The sequence below is a fragment of the Homo sapiens genome, chromosome 9 (assembly GCF_000001405.40).
Source record: "Homo sapiens chromosome 9, GRCh38.p14 Primary Assembly".
Classification (NCBI taxonomy): domain Eukaryota; kingdom Metazoa; phylum Chordata; class Mammalia; order Primates; family Hominidae; genus Homo; species Homo sapiens.
The window spans coordinates 19,187,990-19,203,397 of NC_000009.12; the positions used below are offsets into that span (position 1 = coordinate 19,187,990).

Consider the following 15,408-nt stretch of genomic DNA (forward strand, 5'->3'; position numbering starts at 1 on the left):
TTTTTTGACACAGGTTCTTGTTCTGCGGCCCAGTCTGAAGTGCAGAGGTGCGATTGTGGCTCCTGCAATCTCTGCCTCCCAGGCTCAAGCGATCCTCCCACCTCGGCCTCCCAAGTACCTGGGACTACAGGCATACGCTGTCACAGCTACTTTTTGTATTTTTTTGCAGAGACGGGGTTTCGCCATATTGCCCAGGCTGGTCTCAAACTCCTAGGCTCAAGCAATCCTCCCGCCTTGGCCTCCCAAAGTGTTAGGATTACACGCGTGAGCCACTGTACAGGGCTTTTTTCTTTTTCTTTTTAGAGACAGGGTCTCACTCTGTTACCAGGCTAGAATGCATTGGTTTGTTTGTCACTGATTTGTCACTGATTTGTTTGTTTCTGAGATGGAGTCTCACTCTGTCAGCCAGGCTGGAGTGCAGTGGCATAATCTCAGCTAACTGCAACCTCTGCCTCCTGGGTTCAAGCGATTCTCCTGCCTCAGTCTCCCGAATAGCTGGATTTACAAGCATGAGCCACCATGCCTGGCTAATTTTTGTATTTTTAGTAGAGACAGGGGTTTCACCATGTTGGCCAGGCTGGTCTTGAATTGCTGATCTCAAGTGATCTGCCCACCTCAGCCTCCCAAAATGCTAGGATTACAGGCATGAGCCACCACACCTGGCCCACAGCTCACTGTTGATACTGGAACTAGAAAGAAATTATTTAGGCCGATACTGAGGGTTCTTACCAAGTAGCTCCTAAATCATTTCTTTTCTAACAAAGAGCAGCCTGAAAAATTGAGCTGCAGACATAAATAAGCAAGCTGGAAGCTTGCATAGGTAAATGCCAACAGCTGTGCCAATAGGAAAAGGCTAACTGGGGGTGGGGCATGTTCAACATGGAGGCTCCATTTTCCCTTTTCTTTGTCAACCATGTGTACAGTAAAGAAACAGGCAACATGGCTCCGGCCAGATAGAGGACCATCTGCATAATAAAAGATTCGGGTGGGGTAGCCAGCTTCTTTGCGTGCTATGTAAATGGCACACCTGGTCCATCCAATCTCTCGGGCACTATGTAACTCAGACACTGCCTCCACAAGCTTGTCTACAAAACCCTTTGCGTTTCACCATGAGACCAAAAGTCCCACTCAGGAGCCCCTCTCTCTGTAAGAGAGAGAGGTATTCCCTTTTCTCTTCCTTTTGCCTATTAAACCAATGCTCTTAAATTAACTTCTTATGTGTCTGCGTTCTTGATTCCCTTGGCATGAGACAAGAAACCTCTGATATTTATCCCAGACGGCAACAGCGCTTCTCTGTGACTTCAAACTCCTGGGCTCAAATGATCCACCCGCCTCAGCCTCCTGAGTACCTAGGACTTCATGCACCACCATGCCCTGCTAATTTTTAACCTTTTTTTTTTTTAGAGACTGGGTCTTGGTATGTTGCCTAGGCTAGTCTCAAACACCTGGGCTCAATTGTTTCTCCTGCCTTGGCCTCCCAAAATGCTGGAATTACAAATGTGAACCACTGTGCCCAGCCTTTTATTATCCATTCCTTAAAATAACCCTTAAACGTATAGGAACTGCTGAGATCAATTTGATAAGAAAAGTGAGAAGATAGGTGAATTGCCCAAGGTCACCCAGTCACCGTGTTGTCTTCAGTTGCTTTATCTATAAGAAGGATCTGGACTAGATAATTTCTGAAGTGCGTGCTAGTGTGCACCGCTAAAATTCTATGGCCATAATTGCAAGTTGTGAGACTGGTTCTTACAACTAAAAGTAATTGTTACCTTTAGAATCAATTATGCATTTCTGAGGCGCTTAACTATTTGAGGCTTACAGAGGGACATTTCAAGATGTTTCGTTGGAAATTTGAAAAATGAGTACCAAAATCTAAAAAAAGAAAAAAGAGAGTGAAGATGCAATCATTTCAATTAACCAGTCAGGGGAGTCTAATAACCTCTACCTGTGAGCAAGTAATACCACGAATCCATTGTTGGTTGATGCAATAAATGGTATTGCAGGGGATTAGAACATCCTACCCCACCCCAAATATGTCACTTTCAAATAAGATTATTTTGAGCTGAAGACAACTGAGAAATAGCTGATGCAGAAGAAGCTCCTGGGGCTCACACCTGTAATCCCAGCACTTTGGGAGGCTGAGGTGGGAGGATTGCTTGAGTCCAGGAGTTTGAGACCAGCCTGGGCATCACAGTGAGACTCTGTCTCTACAAAAAATAGTAAAAATTAGCCTGGCGTGGTGGTACATGCCTATAGTCCCAGCTACTGAGGAGGCTGAGGTGGGAGGATTGCTTGAGCCCAGAAGGTTGAGAGTGCAGTGAGCCGTGATTGTGCCCATGCACTCCAGCCTGGGCAACAGAGCAAGACCCTGTCTCCAATTAAAAAAAAAAAAAACCTCTTGGGCTTCTTTCCTCTGTCTGGCTAAGAACAGGATATAAATTGTAAGGGTGTCTCCCTTCCCCTCCATGAAAAGGAGAACAACTCAATCATTCCTGACTCTTAGTCCAGACTAAGAGGACAGGAATCAGACATAGCACTGAAAGAGGAATCCACATAAAAAACTTTACTAAGATAACCTTTGGCTGGGTACTGTGGCTCAGGCCTGTAATCCCAGCACTTTGGGAGGCCAAGGTGGGTGGATCACTTGAGGGTAGGAGTTCAAGACCAACCTGGCCAACATGGTGAAATCCCATCTCTCTTTTTTTTTTTTTTTTTGAGATAAGGTCTCACTCTGTCACCCAGGCTGGAGTGCAGTGACATGATCTCAACTCACTGCAAACTCTGCCTCCCAGGCTCAAGCAATACTCCCGCCTCAGCCTCTCTGAGTAGCTGGGACTACAGGAATGCGTCACCATGCCCAGCTAATTGTTTTGTATTTTTGGTAGAGATGGGGTTTCTCCATGTTGCTCAGGTCGGTCTCGAACTTCTGAGCTCAAGGGATCTGCTCACCTCTGCCTCCCAAAGTGCTAGGATTACAGGCATGAGCCATTGTGCCTAGCCTGAAACCCCATCTCTACTAAAAATAAAATAAAATAAAAATACCTGGGTATGGTGGCAGGTGTCTATAATCCCAGCTATTCGGGAGGCCGAGGCAAGAGAATCACTTGAACCTGGGAGGTGGAGGTTGCAGTGGGCCGAGATGGAGCCACTGCACTCCAACCTGGGCGATGGAGCAAGACCCTGCCTCAAAAGAAATAAAATAACCTTTATCTTCCAGTGGTTTCTCCCCCACATATTTACCTCCCCACAGTTTGCTGCCCCTAAAAGCTGTAACCCCTTTCTCTTGTCACTTCTCTACAGATATATTGTTCCATGTTAAGATGCTATATAAGCCCTGGATTTTAACCACCCCTTTGAGTTACTCATTACTGAGTTTCTCTTGTGTGTATGTGTGCTGTACATGTTAAAAAACTCTGTTTTTCTCTTTTTATCAGAAAACAGAAAACTGTTTTCTCTTTTATCAGTTTGATTCCCAGGACTCCAGCTGGAGAACCTAGGAGGGTAGAAGAAAAAGGTTCGTGTGTGTTTTTCCATCCCCTACAGTGATGGTGGTACATTATTTTGGTTTTGATCTCTGTGGTCAGGGAACAATTAAGTAAGTGATGACAAGAGGTAGGGAAAAAAAACTTCCTTTGCAAAGATTATTTAGCAGTAGAAGTAACAAAAAGATGAGTTGCAAAAAGTAAGTGGAGTTTAAGAACAGGCAAGTGGTAACAACAGCAGGTAATGACTGAGACAACGTGATAATGATAAATTTAGAGAAATGTCTTATTATGTAAATAGATCCATTAGCAATAAGCAAAATTTTACTTTTTGATCAACTTGACTGAAAAGATAACTTTTGGCCCAGGCGCCATGGCTCACACCTGTAATCCCAGCACTTTGTGAGGCCAAGGTGGGCAGATCACCTGAGATCAGGAGTTTGAGACCAGCCTGGCCAACATAGTGAAACCCTGTCTCTACTAAAAATACAAAATTAGCTGGGCGTGGTGGCACATGCCTGTAGTCCCAGCTACTCGGGAGGCTGAGGCAGGAGAATTGCTTGAACCCGGGAGGCGGAGGTTGCAGTGAGCCGAGATTGTGCCACTGCACTCCAGCCTGTGCGTCAGAGAAGACTCCGTCTCAAAATAAATAAAAAGATAACTTTTTACATGAAAAACAAAATGTATTACCCCAATAATTCTGGAGCCATTGCGATGATCTTGCAAAGAAGAGAGTAGTGTTTTTATTAAGATAACCAGTTCTTGAACTTTGACCAGTGTATTATACATAGACAAGACTTCATCTGACATCAAAGTAGTAGGACTCTTTAATCACCCTATTTTATTATTTCAAATAACATTTAAACTCAAGGATAATTCACTACTTCCCTTGGTTTGAATTTTCTGCATACAGAGTTAGATTTCTTATCTCTCTGTGTATACATGCCAACCTAAAGAATGTGGATTTTTTTCACTCAAAGAGGAAAATGACTATGATTTTAAAAATTGGCATTATAATTCTGTTCTGCCTCAGAGTTCTTCCTCCCAGCCTTGTCCCTTCCCCCATTCACAGTGTATCCTTTGCTCCAGTAATATCCAATTTCCTATTGTTCCCCAATACATTCTGTCCTATCTCTGTAACTTGGCACATGCTGTTCCCTCTAACTTCCCTTCTTACTCTTCCCTACCCTACATACCTGGCTAACTCCTATTTACCCTTCAAAGTTCAGCTCAATTAAGTATCACTTTCTCTTTGAGATCTTTACTACTATAAAACTGTAATCAATATTTTTTCTTCTTTGTACATATATTTGCATACATTCCTGATTGTGCCCTTAGTGGAAATGATTAGAAGTGGACTTCCTGTGACGGAAATTCTCTTAAAATAGTCATGAGTGATAAAATGTTTGTAAAGTCAAGCAGTTCCTGACTTGCAAATGACAGCACAAACAAGCAGCCCCTTGTGCTTCACTATTCTTGCTCCTGGGCCCTTCTGCTGCTGCTACCTGCTTCCCTTTCATAAATGCCCCAGCTATTATTTCTGGAGGAGCTTTTAAAGGTCTGGCCCAGCTCCTCTTCTTGTGCAAGAAGTCTCCTCTGTCTCTGTTGCCCTGGAGCTGTCCACCTGCCTTACCCACATCCTACCTCTCACAGCAGACAGGGGCTCCAGGCTATGGAATGTAAGATGAAAAGGAGAGAAGTTATCATTTGAGCCCGGGAGGCGGAGGTTGCAGTGAGCCAAGATAGCGCCATTGCACTCCAGCCTGGGCGACAGATGAGACTCCATTTCAAAAATAAATAAATAAATAAATAAAAAGGAGACGAGTGGTCAGATTTCAGGGACTAAACAAACATACTTTCAAGGCTTAGAAAAAGTTTTTACATGACTTATGAATTTGCTAAGTATTGGTAGGGCAGCCTAGGAACTGCAATCTCAACTCACCATTACATTTCAACTTCCTTCAGTCTCTTTGGGAAAAGGTATTTATTCATGTATTCCTAAAAGTGACCAATATGTCTTGTTTGGGACTTTTCTGGTTTTAGCATAGAAAGCACTGAGCTGATATCGCACCACTGCACTCCAGCCTGGGTGACATAGCAAGACTCTATCTCAAAAGAACAAAACAAAACAAAAATTCCAATTTCAAATCATCTCTTTGTGACCGTATGTGACTGTATGCTTTCAGAAAAATCCAGATCACCTCTTGAATGTTTTGCTGCTTAGAAATTTCTCCTGCCAGATGCCCTAAATCATCTCTCTCAAGTTCAAAGTTCCACAGATTTCTAGGGCAGGGGCAAAATGCCACCAGTCTCTTTGCTAAAGCATAGCAAAGTGACTTTTGCTCCAGTTCCCAAAAAGTTCCTCATCTCCACCTGAGACCACCTCAGCCTGGACTTTATTGTCCATATCACTATCAGCATGTTGGTCAAAACCATTCAACAAGTTTCTAGTAAGCTCCAAACTTTCCCACATCTTCCTGTCTTCTTCTGAGCCCTCCAAGCTGTTCCAACCTCTGCTCATTACCGAGTTCCAAAGTCACTTCCACATTTTCAGGTTATCTTTATAGCAGTACCTCACTCTGTTAGTACCAATTCTCTGTATTAGTCCATTCTCATATTGCTATAAAGAACTGCCTGAGACTGGGTAATTTATGAAGGAAAGAGGTTAAGTTGACTACAGTTATGCATGGCTGGGGAGGCCTTATGAAACTTACAATCATGGTGGAAAGAGAAGGTGAAGCAAGCACCTTCCTCACAAGACGGCAGGAGAGAGTGAGCGCAGGGAAAACTGCCACTTTTAAACCATCAGATCTCATGAGAACTCCTTCGCTATTATGAGAACAGCATAGGGGAAACCACCCCCATGATCCAATCACCTCCCACCAGGTCCCTCCCACAACACATGGGAATTACAGTTCAAAATGAGATATGGGTGGAGACACAAAACCAAACCGTATCAATCCCCAATCCTCTTCTCATCCTGTGTGATCTGCCCTGGACAATCTTACTAAGTTTCCATGACTTCAACTCTCATCTGAATACTGAAGATTCCCAAATGTAGCCCAGCTTTTTATTCTGACCTCTGTTCTCTATTTCCACCCTCAGCTGGAACATCTGTACTAGGATATGCATTGGTATTGTAGACATAGCTAAAACCCCATCACTAACATCATACTTAATGGTGAAAGATTGAATGCTTTTCCTCTAACATCAGAAATAAGACAAGCATGTCCACTTTGCCACTGCCATTCAACGGTGCACTGGAGGTTCCAGTGAGGGCTATTAGGCAAGAAAATAAATAAATACAAGGTCTCCAGATTGGAAAATAAGAAGTAACACAATCTCTACTTGCAGGTTGTATGATCTTGTATACAGAAAATTTTCAGGAGGCTGAGGCAGGACAATTGCTTGAACCCAGGAGGCAGAAGTTGCAGTGAGCCGAGATCACGCCACTGCACTCCAGCCTGGGCGACAGACGGAGACTCCATCTCAAGAAAAAAAAATTCTCTTTCATCAAAGGTGGTTTATAAATAACAGAGGAGATAAAGTCAGTCTTTCCAGCCGGGCACAGTAGCTCATGCCTGTAATCCCAGCACTTTGGGAGGCCGAGGCGGGCAGATCACGAGGTCAGGTGATCGAGAGAGAGATTGCAGGGAGCCAAAATCATACCATTGCACTCCAGCTTAGGCGACAGAGAGAGACTCCGTCTAAAAAAAAAAATTTGCTGGGTGAGGTCTGGCGCAGTGGTTCACACCTGTAATCCCAACAGTTTGGGAGGCTGAGGTGGGTGGATCACCTGAGGTCAGGAGTTCAAGACCAGCCTGGCCAACATGGTGAAAACCCATCTCTACTAAAAATACAAAAATTAGCCAGGCATGGTGGCGGGCCCCTGTAATCCCAGCTACTCAGGAGGCTGAGGCAGGAGAATCACCTGAACCCAGGAGGCGGAGGTGCGGTGAGCCAAAATTGAGCCACTGCACTCCAGCCTGGACAACAGAGCCAGATTCTGTCTCAAAAAAAAAAAAAAAAGTGCTGGGTGTCGTGGCATGCAGCTGTGTAGTTTAGCTACTCAGGAAGTTAAGGTGGGAAAAGGGCTTGAGTCCAGGAAGTTGAGGCTGCAGTGAGCTATGATTGCACCATTGAAGTCCAGCCTGGGTGACAGAGTGAGACCTTGTCTCAAAAAAATAAATTAAAAACAAAAATACAGCTGCCCGTGGTGGCTCATGCCTGTAATCCCAGCACTTTGGGAGGCTGAGGTAGGCAGATCACCTGAGGTCAGGAGTTTCAGACCAGTCTGGCCAACATGGTGAAACCTCTTCTCTACTAAAAATATAAAAATTAGCAGGGTGTGGTAGCATGCACCTGTAGTCTCAGCTACTTGGGAGACTGAGGAAGGAGAATCGCTTGAACCCTGGGAGGCGGAGGTTGCAGTGAGCCGAGATCACACCACTGCACTCTAGCCTGGGTGACAGAGCAAGACTCTGTCTCAAAATAAATAAATAAATAAAATACAAAGAAATACATTTAACAAAAGAATTGCATAATGGGTACTCTGAAAACTACAAACATTGCTGAAATAAATTTTAAAAGATCTAAATCAATGGAAAGACATCGTATGTTCATGGATTGGAAGACTTAATATTGTTAAGATGGCAGTACTCCCCAAACTGATCTACACATTTAACACCACTTCTCTCCAAATCCCAGCTGTCTTCTTTGCAGAAATCAACAAGCTGATTCTGAATAGTTTGGAAATGCAAAGGACTAAGAATCGCCCATACAATCAGGAAGAGGAAGAATAAAATTTGAGGACACATACATTCTGACTTCTTATTTATTTATGAGCCAGGGTCTCGCTCTGTCCCCCAGGCTGGAGCACAGTGGTGCAATCACAGTTTACTGCAGCCTCAAACTACTGGGCTCAAGTGATCCTCCCACCTCAGCCTCCTAAGTAGTTGGGACTACAGACTCTTACCACCATGACTGGCTTTTTTTTTTTTTTTTTTTTTTTTTTTTGAGACAGGGTCTTGTTCTGTCACCCAGACTAGAGTGCAGTGATGAGATCAGGGCTCACTGAAGCCTTGACCTTCAGGCTCAAGCCATCCTCCTACCTCAGCCTCCCAAGTAACTGGGACTACAGGTACATGCCACTATACCCAACTAATTTTTTGTTTGTTTGTTTGTTTGTTTGAGACAGTTTCACTCTTTGGCCCAGGCTGAAGTGAAGTAGTGTGATCTCAGCTCACTGCACCTCTGCTCCCTGGGTTCAAGCGATTCTCCTGCCTCACCCTCCTGAGTAGCTGGGATTATAGGTGCTCACCACCATGCCCAGCTAATTTTTGTATTTTTAGTAGAGACAGGGTTTTGCCATATTGGCCAGGCTGGTCTCGAACTCCTGACCTCAGGTGATCCACCTGCCTCGGCCTCCCAAAGTGCTAGGATTATAGGCGTGAATCACGGTACCAGGCTTCAACTAATTTTTTAAATTTTGTATATATTGGGTCTTGCTATGTGGCCAGGGCTGATCTCAAACTCCTGGGCTCAAGCTATCCTCTGACCTAGGCTTACCAAAGTGCTGGGATTACAGGGATGAGCCACCATGCCCAGCCTGCATTCTGATTTCTGAGTAAAGAAAAATAGCTCACAGCAGTCTGGGACATTGAGATGCAAAATTTATTGAGTCCAGAGAGACATGAGTATGTCAAGCTCCCCCACCCACCCAACATACACGTCCAGGGGGGCAACTGTTTAAAGGGATTTGGGGCCGGGCACGGTGGCTGACACCTGTAATCTCAACACTTTGGGAGGCAGAGGCAGGAGGACTGGTTAAGCCCAGGAGTTCCAGACCAGCCTAGGCAACATAGAGAGAACCCATCTCTACAAAAAATTAAAAAAACAATTAGCTAGGTGTGGTGGTACACACCCAGATACTTACAGGGCTGAGGTGAGAGGACTGCTTGAGCCTGGGAAGTGGAGGCTGCAGTGATCAGTGATTGCACCAGTACGGTCCACCTAAGCGAGAGTGAGACCCTATCTTAAACAAAACCAAAAGCAAAAACAAGCCAGGCATGGTAGCTCATGCCTGTAATCTCAGCACTTTGGGAGGCCAAGGCAGGTGGATCCCCTGAGTCCAGGAGTTCAAGACCAGCCTAGATACATGGCAAAACCCTGTCTCTATAAAATAAAATAAAATAGAATTTAATTAAATTAAAAAGAAAAGTCAACGCATAGCCAATTAATAGTTTATGTTATTTTATGGTAAATTCTTGGTAAACAACTTAGGAACTACCTCTTCTTTTTTTCTTTAAAAATTCACTTGTAGGCTGGGCATGGTGGCTCACACCTGTAATCCCAGCAGTTTGGGAGGCCGAGGCAGGCAGATCACGAGGTCAGGAGATCGAGACCATCCTGGCTAACACAGTGAAACCCTGTCTCTACTAAAAATACAAAAAAATTAGCCAGGCGTGGTGGCGGGTGCCTGTACTCCCAGCTACTCGGGAGGCTGAGGCAAGAGAATGGTGTGAACCCGGGATACGGAGCTTGCAGTGAGCCAAGATCGTGCCACTGGACTCCAGCCTGGGCAACAGAGCGAGACTCCTTCTCAAAAAAAAAAAAAAAAAAATTCACCTGTGACTGCTGCTGATCATGGCATATATTCAAGGCAACTTAATTAAAGGTCCCAGGTTGCAGTCCTCAAACTTGACCCATATAAACTATCTTTTCAACAAATAATGCTGAAACAAGTGGATGCCACATGAAAAAAAAAAAATGAAGTTGGAACCCTAGCTCACTTCACATACAAAAATTAACTCCAGGCTAGGCATAGTGGCTTTGTCCTGTAATCCTAGCCCTTTGGGAGGCTGAGGTGGGAAGATTGCTTGAGCCCAGGAGTTCAAGACCAGCCTGAACAATATAGTGAGACTTCGTCCGTACTAAAAATAAAAATATTACCTGGGCATGGTGGTGTGTGTCTGTAGTTCCAGCTACTCAGGAGCCTAAGATGGAAGGATCACTTGAGTCCAGCAAGCTGATCATGCCACAGCACTCCAGCCTGGGCAACAGAGCAAGACCCTGTCACACCAACACACACACACAAATACCCTGTCTCTTACAAAATTGTAAAAATTAGCCATGTGTGGTGGCGAGCATCTGTAGTCCTAGCTATTCAGGAGGCTGAGACAGGAGGATTGCTTGAGCCTAAGAGTTTTGGAAGTTGCAGTGAGCCAACTGCCATGATTGTGCCATTGCACTGAAGCCTGGGCAGTTGAGCAAGATCCTATCTAAAAAAAACCCAAATAAATAAAATCAAAATGGACCATACACCCAAATGTAAGAGCAAAAACTATTAGAGTTTTAAAAGAAAACTTATGTGTACGTATTCAGGAGCTTTCATTAGACAATGGTTTCTGGGATATGACATCAAAAGCACAAACAACAAAAGAACAAATGAATATATTTGTCAAAAGACAAAATTACAACACATTAAGTTTAAAAATCTTAATTGTTACTTATTTGTGATTCTAAACTCAGGCAATATATCATTCTATAAAACAGAATGAGTCTTCCAATGAACAAAGCAGAAGAGATTGCTTTTATAAACAGGCAGAGAGGACTTCCTTATCATGCCAGAGATAGCTTTTATAGAGAGGCAGAGGGGATTTCCTTATCATGCCAGCTAAAACTGGCCTGTTTGAGGATTTGGCTATTCTCTCTCTCTCTCTCCTGATTTCTCAGAAGGTCAGATAAAGATCTTAGTTTTGACTTAGTGACATGACATGCAATTTCAGCATAAGTAACTCCATTTTGGTGGGGTCTGTTAGGCCTAGGGCAGGAACTCAGTCCAACTCAATGGCCTCCTGTAAATTTTATTCTACATATTGAACATCACCGAAATATAAAACTTTTTCCTTCCAAGGACACCATCGAGAAAATGAAAAGCCAAATCACAGAATGGGAGAAAATATATGCAAATCATATATCTAATAAGGCTGTTCTTTTTATAGTGTAGATATATAAATGGTGAGGATATGGAAAAGTTGGAACTCTTGTACATTGCTAGAAGAAATGTAGGATGGTACAGCCTTTGTGGAAAACTATTTGGTGGTTCCTTCAGAAGTTAAAACACAGAATTAACATATGACCCAGAAATTCTACTCCTAGGTATATATCCAAAAGAATTAAAAACAAGTACTCAAATTCTGTTTTTCGAGACAGAGTCTTGCTCTGTTGCCTAGGCTGGAGTGCAATGGTGCAATCTCAGCTCACTGCAACCTCCACCTCCTGCATTCAAACGATTCTTCTGCCTCAGCCTCCCGAGTAGCTAAGATTACAGGTACCCGCCTCCTTGCCCAGCTAGTTTTTGTATTTTTAGTAGAGATGGGGTTTCACCATGTTGGCCAGGCTGGTCTTCAACTCCTGAGCTCAAGTGATCCGCCCACCTCAGCCTCCCAAAGTGCTGAGATTACAGGCTTGAGCTACCCTGCCTGGCCAAATTCTTATATATCATTGATCATAGCAGTATCATTTATAATGGCCAAAAGGTGGAAAACACTCAAATTTCCATCAAATAATGAATGAATAAACAAAACGTGGAATAGCCATACAATGAGTTACTATCCAGGCATAAAGAGTACTGATACATGCTACAACATGGATGAAACTTGAAAACATTACACATGTGAAAGAAGCCAGACACAAAAGGCCACATATTGTATGATTTCATTTAAATAAAATATCCAGTATAAGCAATCTATAGATATAAGAAGGAGATTAGTGATTGCCAGGGGCCGAGAAGAGGGCAATGGGAGTAACAGGGTTTCTTTTCTTTTTCTTTTTTCTTTTTTTTTTTTGTGAGTCTGATCTTATTTATTTTTTACTCACTTAGAAGTAGAAGCTCGCAGAGAGGAAAGTCTGCGTCTCTTCACAATTTGTTCCTGGCGCTTTTCCTTAGCCTCCTTCATTCTCTTGCCAAAAGCTTAGCATATTCTGCAGCGTCTTCCTTATTTTTCTTAGTATGCTGCTTCTTCAGAGCAATACACCGCCGTTTGTGCTGCAGGACACATGGAGTAACAAGACGCTGAATCTTGGGTGCTTTGGTCCTAGGTTTCTTACCTTCTTTAAGGGCTTTCTTTAGAGAGATTGAAAAGTTTATGGATTCTGCTAGCTCTTTTGGGTCCCAGGTGATGAGGCACCATAGTATCAGTCAGTCCAGGAATATCCTTCTCTCCTTTTTTTACAATAACCAAGTTGAGAATGCTCAGATTGGCAACCACAATGCAACCATGAACTGATTTTCCCTTCCTTTCTCCAGTTCTCCTTGGTCTGTAACAGGAATGCCCCTTACTCAGTAGCAGGTGGACATGGCCATGGGTCAAGACACCCTGCTTCATGGGGAAACCTTATTTGTCGTTCCCACCACTGATTCGGACCACATAACCCTTCCATTCTTCACCCAGTGTGTCAGCAGCAACTTTTGTGGCCGTACGTTTCTCATAAAAAGTACGAAGTTTGCATTCATCATCCATTTCAATGAGTTTCTGGCAGCCAGTGGCTGGGAAGGAGATGTTCAGCTTCATCTTGAAGCATCCTTTTTTTTTTTTTGAGATGGAGTGCAGCAGCGTGATCTCGGCTCACTACAACCTCTGCCTCCCCAGTTCAAGCGATTCTCCTACATCAGCCTCCTGAGTAGCTGGGACTACAGGTGCGTTCTACCGCGCCCGGCCAATTTTTGTATTTTTAGTAGAGGTGGGGTTTCACCGTGTTAGCCAGTATGGTCTCCATCTCCTGACCTCATGATCTGCCTGCCTCGGCCTCCCAAAGTGCTGGGATTACAGGCATAAGCCACCACGCCCAGCCAACAGGGTTTCTTTTTGGAATGATGATAATGTTCTGGATTTAGATAGTGGAGATAGCTGCACAAGTCTGTGAATAGGCTAAAAGACATTGAATTGTACAGCTTAAATTGGAGAATTATGTGTTAAGTAAATTGTATCTCAACAAGGGTTTTTAATTTCCCAAGGCTTGGGTGAAAATCAATGGGTATAACTTTCAATATAAGAGTTGGAAAAGTATCATAAAAATGCTAACAGTGACTAGATAAGATGATGCATGTTCTATCTTTCTAAATGGAAGACATATCTTTACAATATGAGTTCCTGCCTAAGATAAAATGGGTATTTAAATATTGTATTTAAATGTTCTAAGTGTCAGACTTCCTTTCTTTAGCTTTTCCACAGATACAGAATTTTAGCTCTGGCTCAAACTCTGCATGTAAAATGAGAATAGAAAAATGTGACTCTTAAACTACAGATATTTAATAAAGACTAATTTGCAGACATCAAGGTGAAATAAAATGATTAATTTTTTAAGATATAAAGCTCATTGTTCAAATAAAATCCAAGTTCTAAAATCTTAGATTGTATGAAATGGATGTGAAATGGATGAAAGTGTTATGAATGGCGCTGCTTTGCTTGAGGTACTCCTTTATCTCCACTCCTCCAAACACAAACATATCAGGGCAGGCAGGTCTAAGCAGCTCCTTGGAGCACAGTTTAAAAGGTCTGAGGGACTCTAGCAGCCCAGTTGGCCCTAAATTGTGTAGTCTTTGGTAAGGTACAGAAACTCCATGGGCTCCTGACAGAAAACTCCTGTTTCCTATTTGTCAGATAAAGGGGGCTAAGCTACAACTCCTTGAAAGCCCTTTTCTACGGTCGAAGTCTACAATTCTATGATCCTGAAAAAGCTAAAATAAAAGCTAGTAGCCACTGGCTTCTAAAATGTTTACCAATCACCCCAGAGCTTAAGGAACAAAGATCAAAACAAGCCTTGGGCTATAATCACCTTATCCAAACCTACAAAATAAACAGCAGACTAAAAATAGAGAGGGGTAAGTCTTATTTCAAAGTGAAATGATCTGAACAAAGGGCAGCTGGTTTTCACGATCTTTCTTATCTCTTAGATAAAGTTTGTTAATGGGCCATAAATACACAAAGGGTCTGGTTGCCAAGTATCCCTGCAAAAGGGAGGAGAGGCCATATATCACTTCCTGGGGGATGGGAGGGAGTAGCATCTCAAGGAGAAGTAGCACAAAGGCCCCTCCTGAGATAGGAAACAGGCCCTGGGTCAGGCAGCTGTGGGTCCGGCAAACACCCTCAGATCTCAGAACAAGAAACCCGTTGAAGGCGGGGCACAATGGCTCCTGCCTGTAATCCCAGCACTTTGGGAGCCACAGTGAGGCTTGAAGCCAGGAGCTAGAGACCAGCCTAGGCAACATAGGGAGACCCGCCCCCCTGCATCTGTCTGTCCAAACAATTTAAAAATTAGCTGGGCACAGCTGGGCACGGTGGCTCAGGCCTGTAACCCCAGCACTTTGGGAGGCCGAGGCGGGTAGGATCACGTGAGGTCAGGAGTTCGAGACTGGCCTGGCCAACATGGTGAAACTCCATCTCTACTAAAAATACAAAAAATTAGCCGGGCGTGGTGGCAGGCGCCTTTAATCCCAGCTACTTGGGAGGCTGAGGCAGAGAGAATCGCTTGAACCCAGGAGGTGGAGGTTGCATTGAGCTGAGATTGCACCATTGTACTCCAGCCTGGGCAAAAAGAGTGAAGCTCCTTCTCAAAAACAAAACAAAACAAAAATTAGCTAGGCATAGTGGCATGCACCTCTAGTCCCAGCTCCTCGGGAGGCTGAGGTGGGAGGATGGTTTGATCCTGGGAGGTTGAGACTGCAGTGAGCTGTGATCACACCACTGCACTCCAGCCTGACGACAGAGCAAGACCCTGTCTCAAAAACAAACAAAATACATATGTGTGTGTGCGCATGCGGGCGTGTGTGTGTGTGTGTAAAACCTGTTAAAGAGCTGGGGGCTGGGTGGAACAGAGATTGTGCTGGCCAAGGTGGGGAGAAGCTATATACTATATGGAGGAC

At 43.8% G+C, this 15,408-nt stretch overlaps 1 pseudogene, besides 1 other annotated feature; it reads right to left on the reverse strand.

Moving 5' to 3' along the window:
- Positions 12,334-13,066, reverse strand: RPS6P10 (ribosomal protein S6 pseudogene 10; annotated as a pseudogene).
- Positions 14,457-14,975: an enhancer, noted in NCBI's record as "NANOG-H3K27ac-H3K4me1 hESC enhancer chr9:19202444-19202962 (GRCh37/hg19 assembly coordinates)". NCBI's record gives its function as "activates a minimal SCP1, AML or CMV promoter by ChIP-STARR-seq in naive H9 embryonic stem cells {active_cell/tissue: H9 hESC(naive)}" and the evidence as "EXISTENCE:reporter gene assay evidence [ECO:0000049][PMID:30033119]".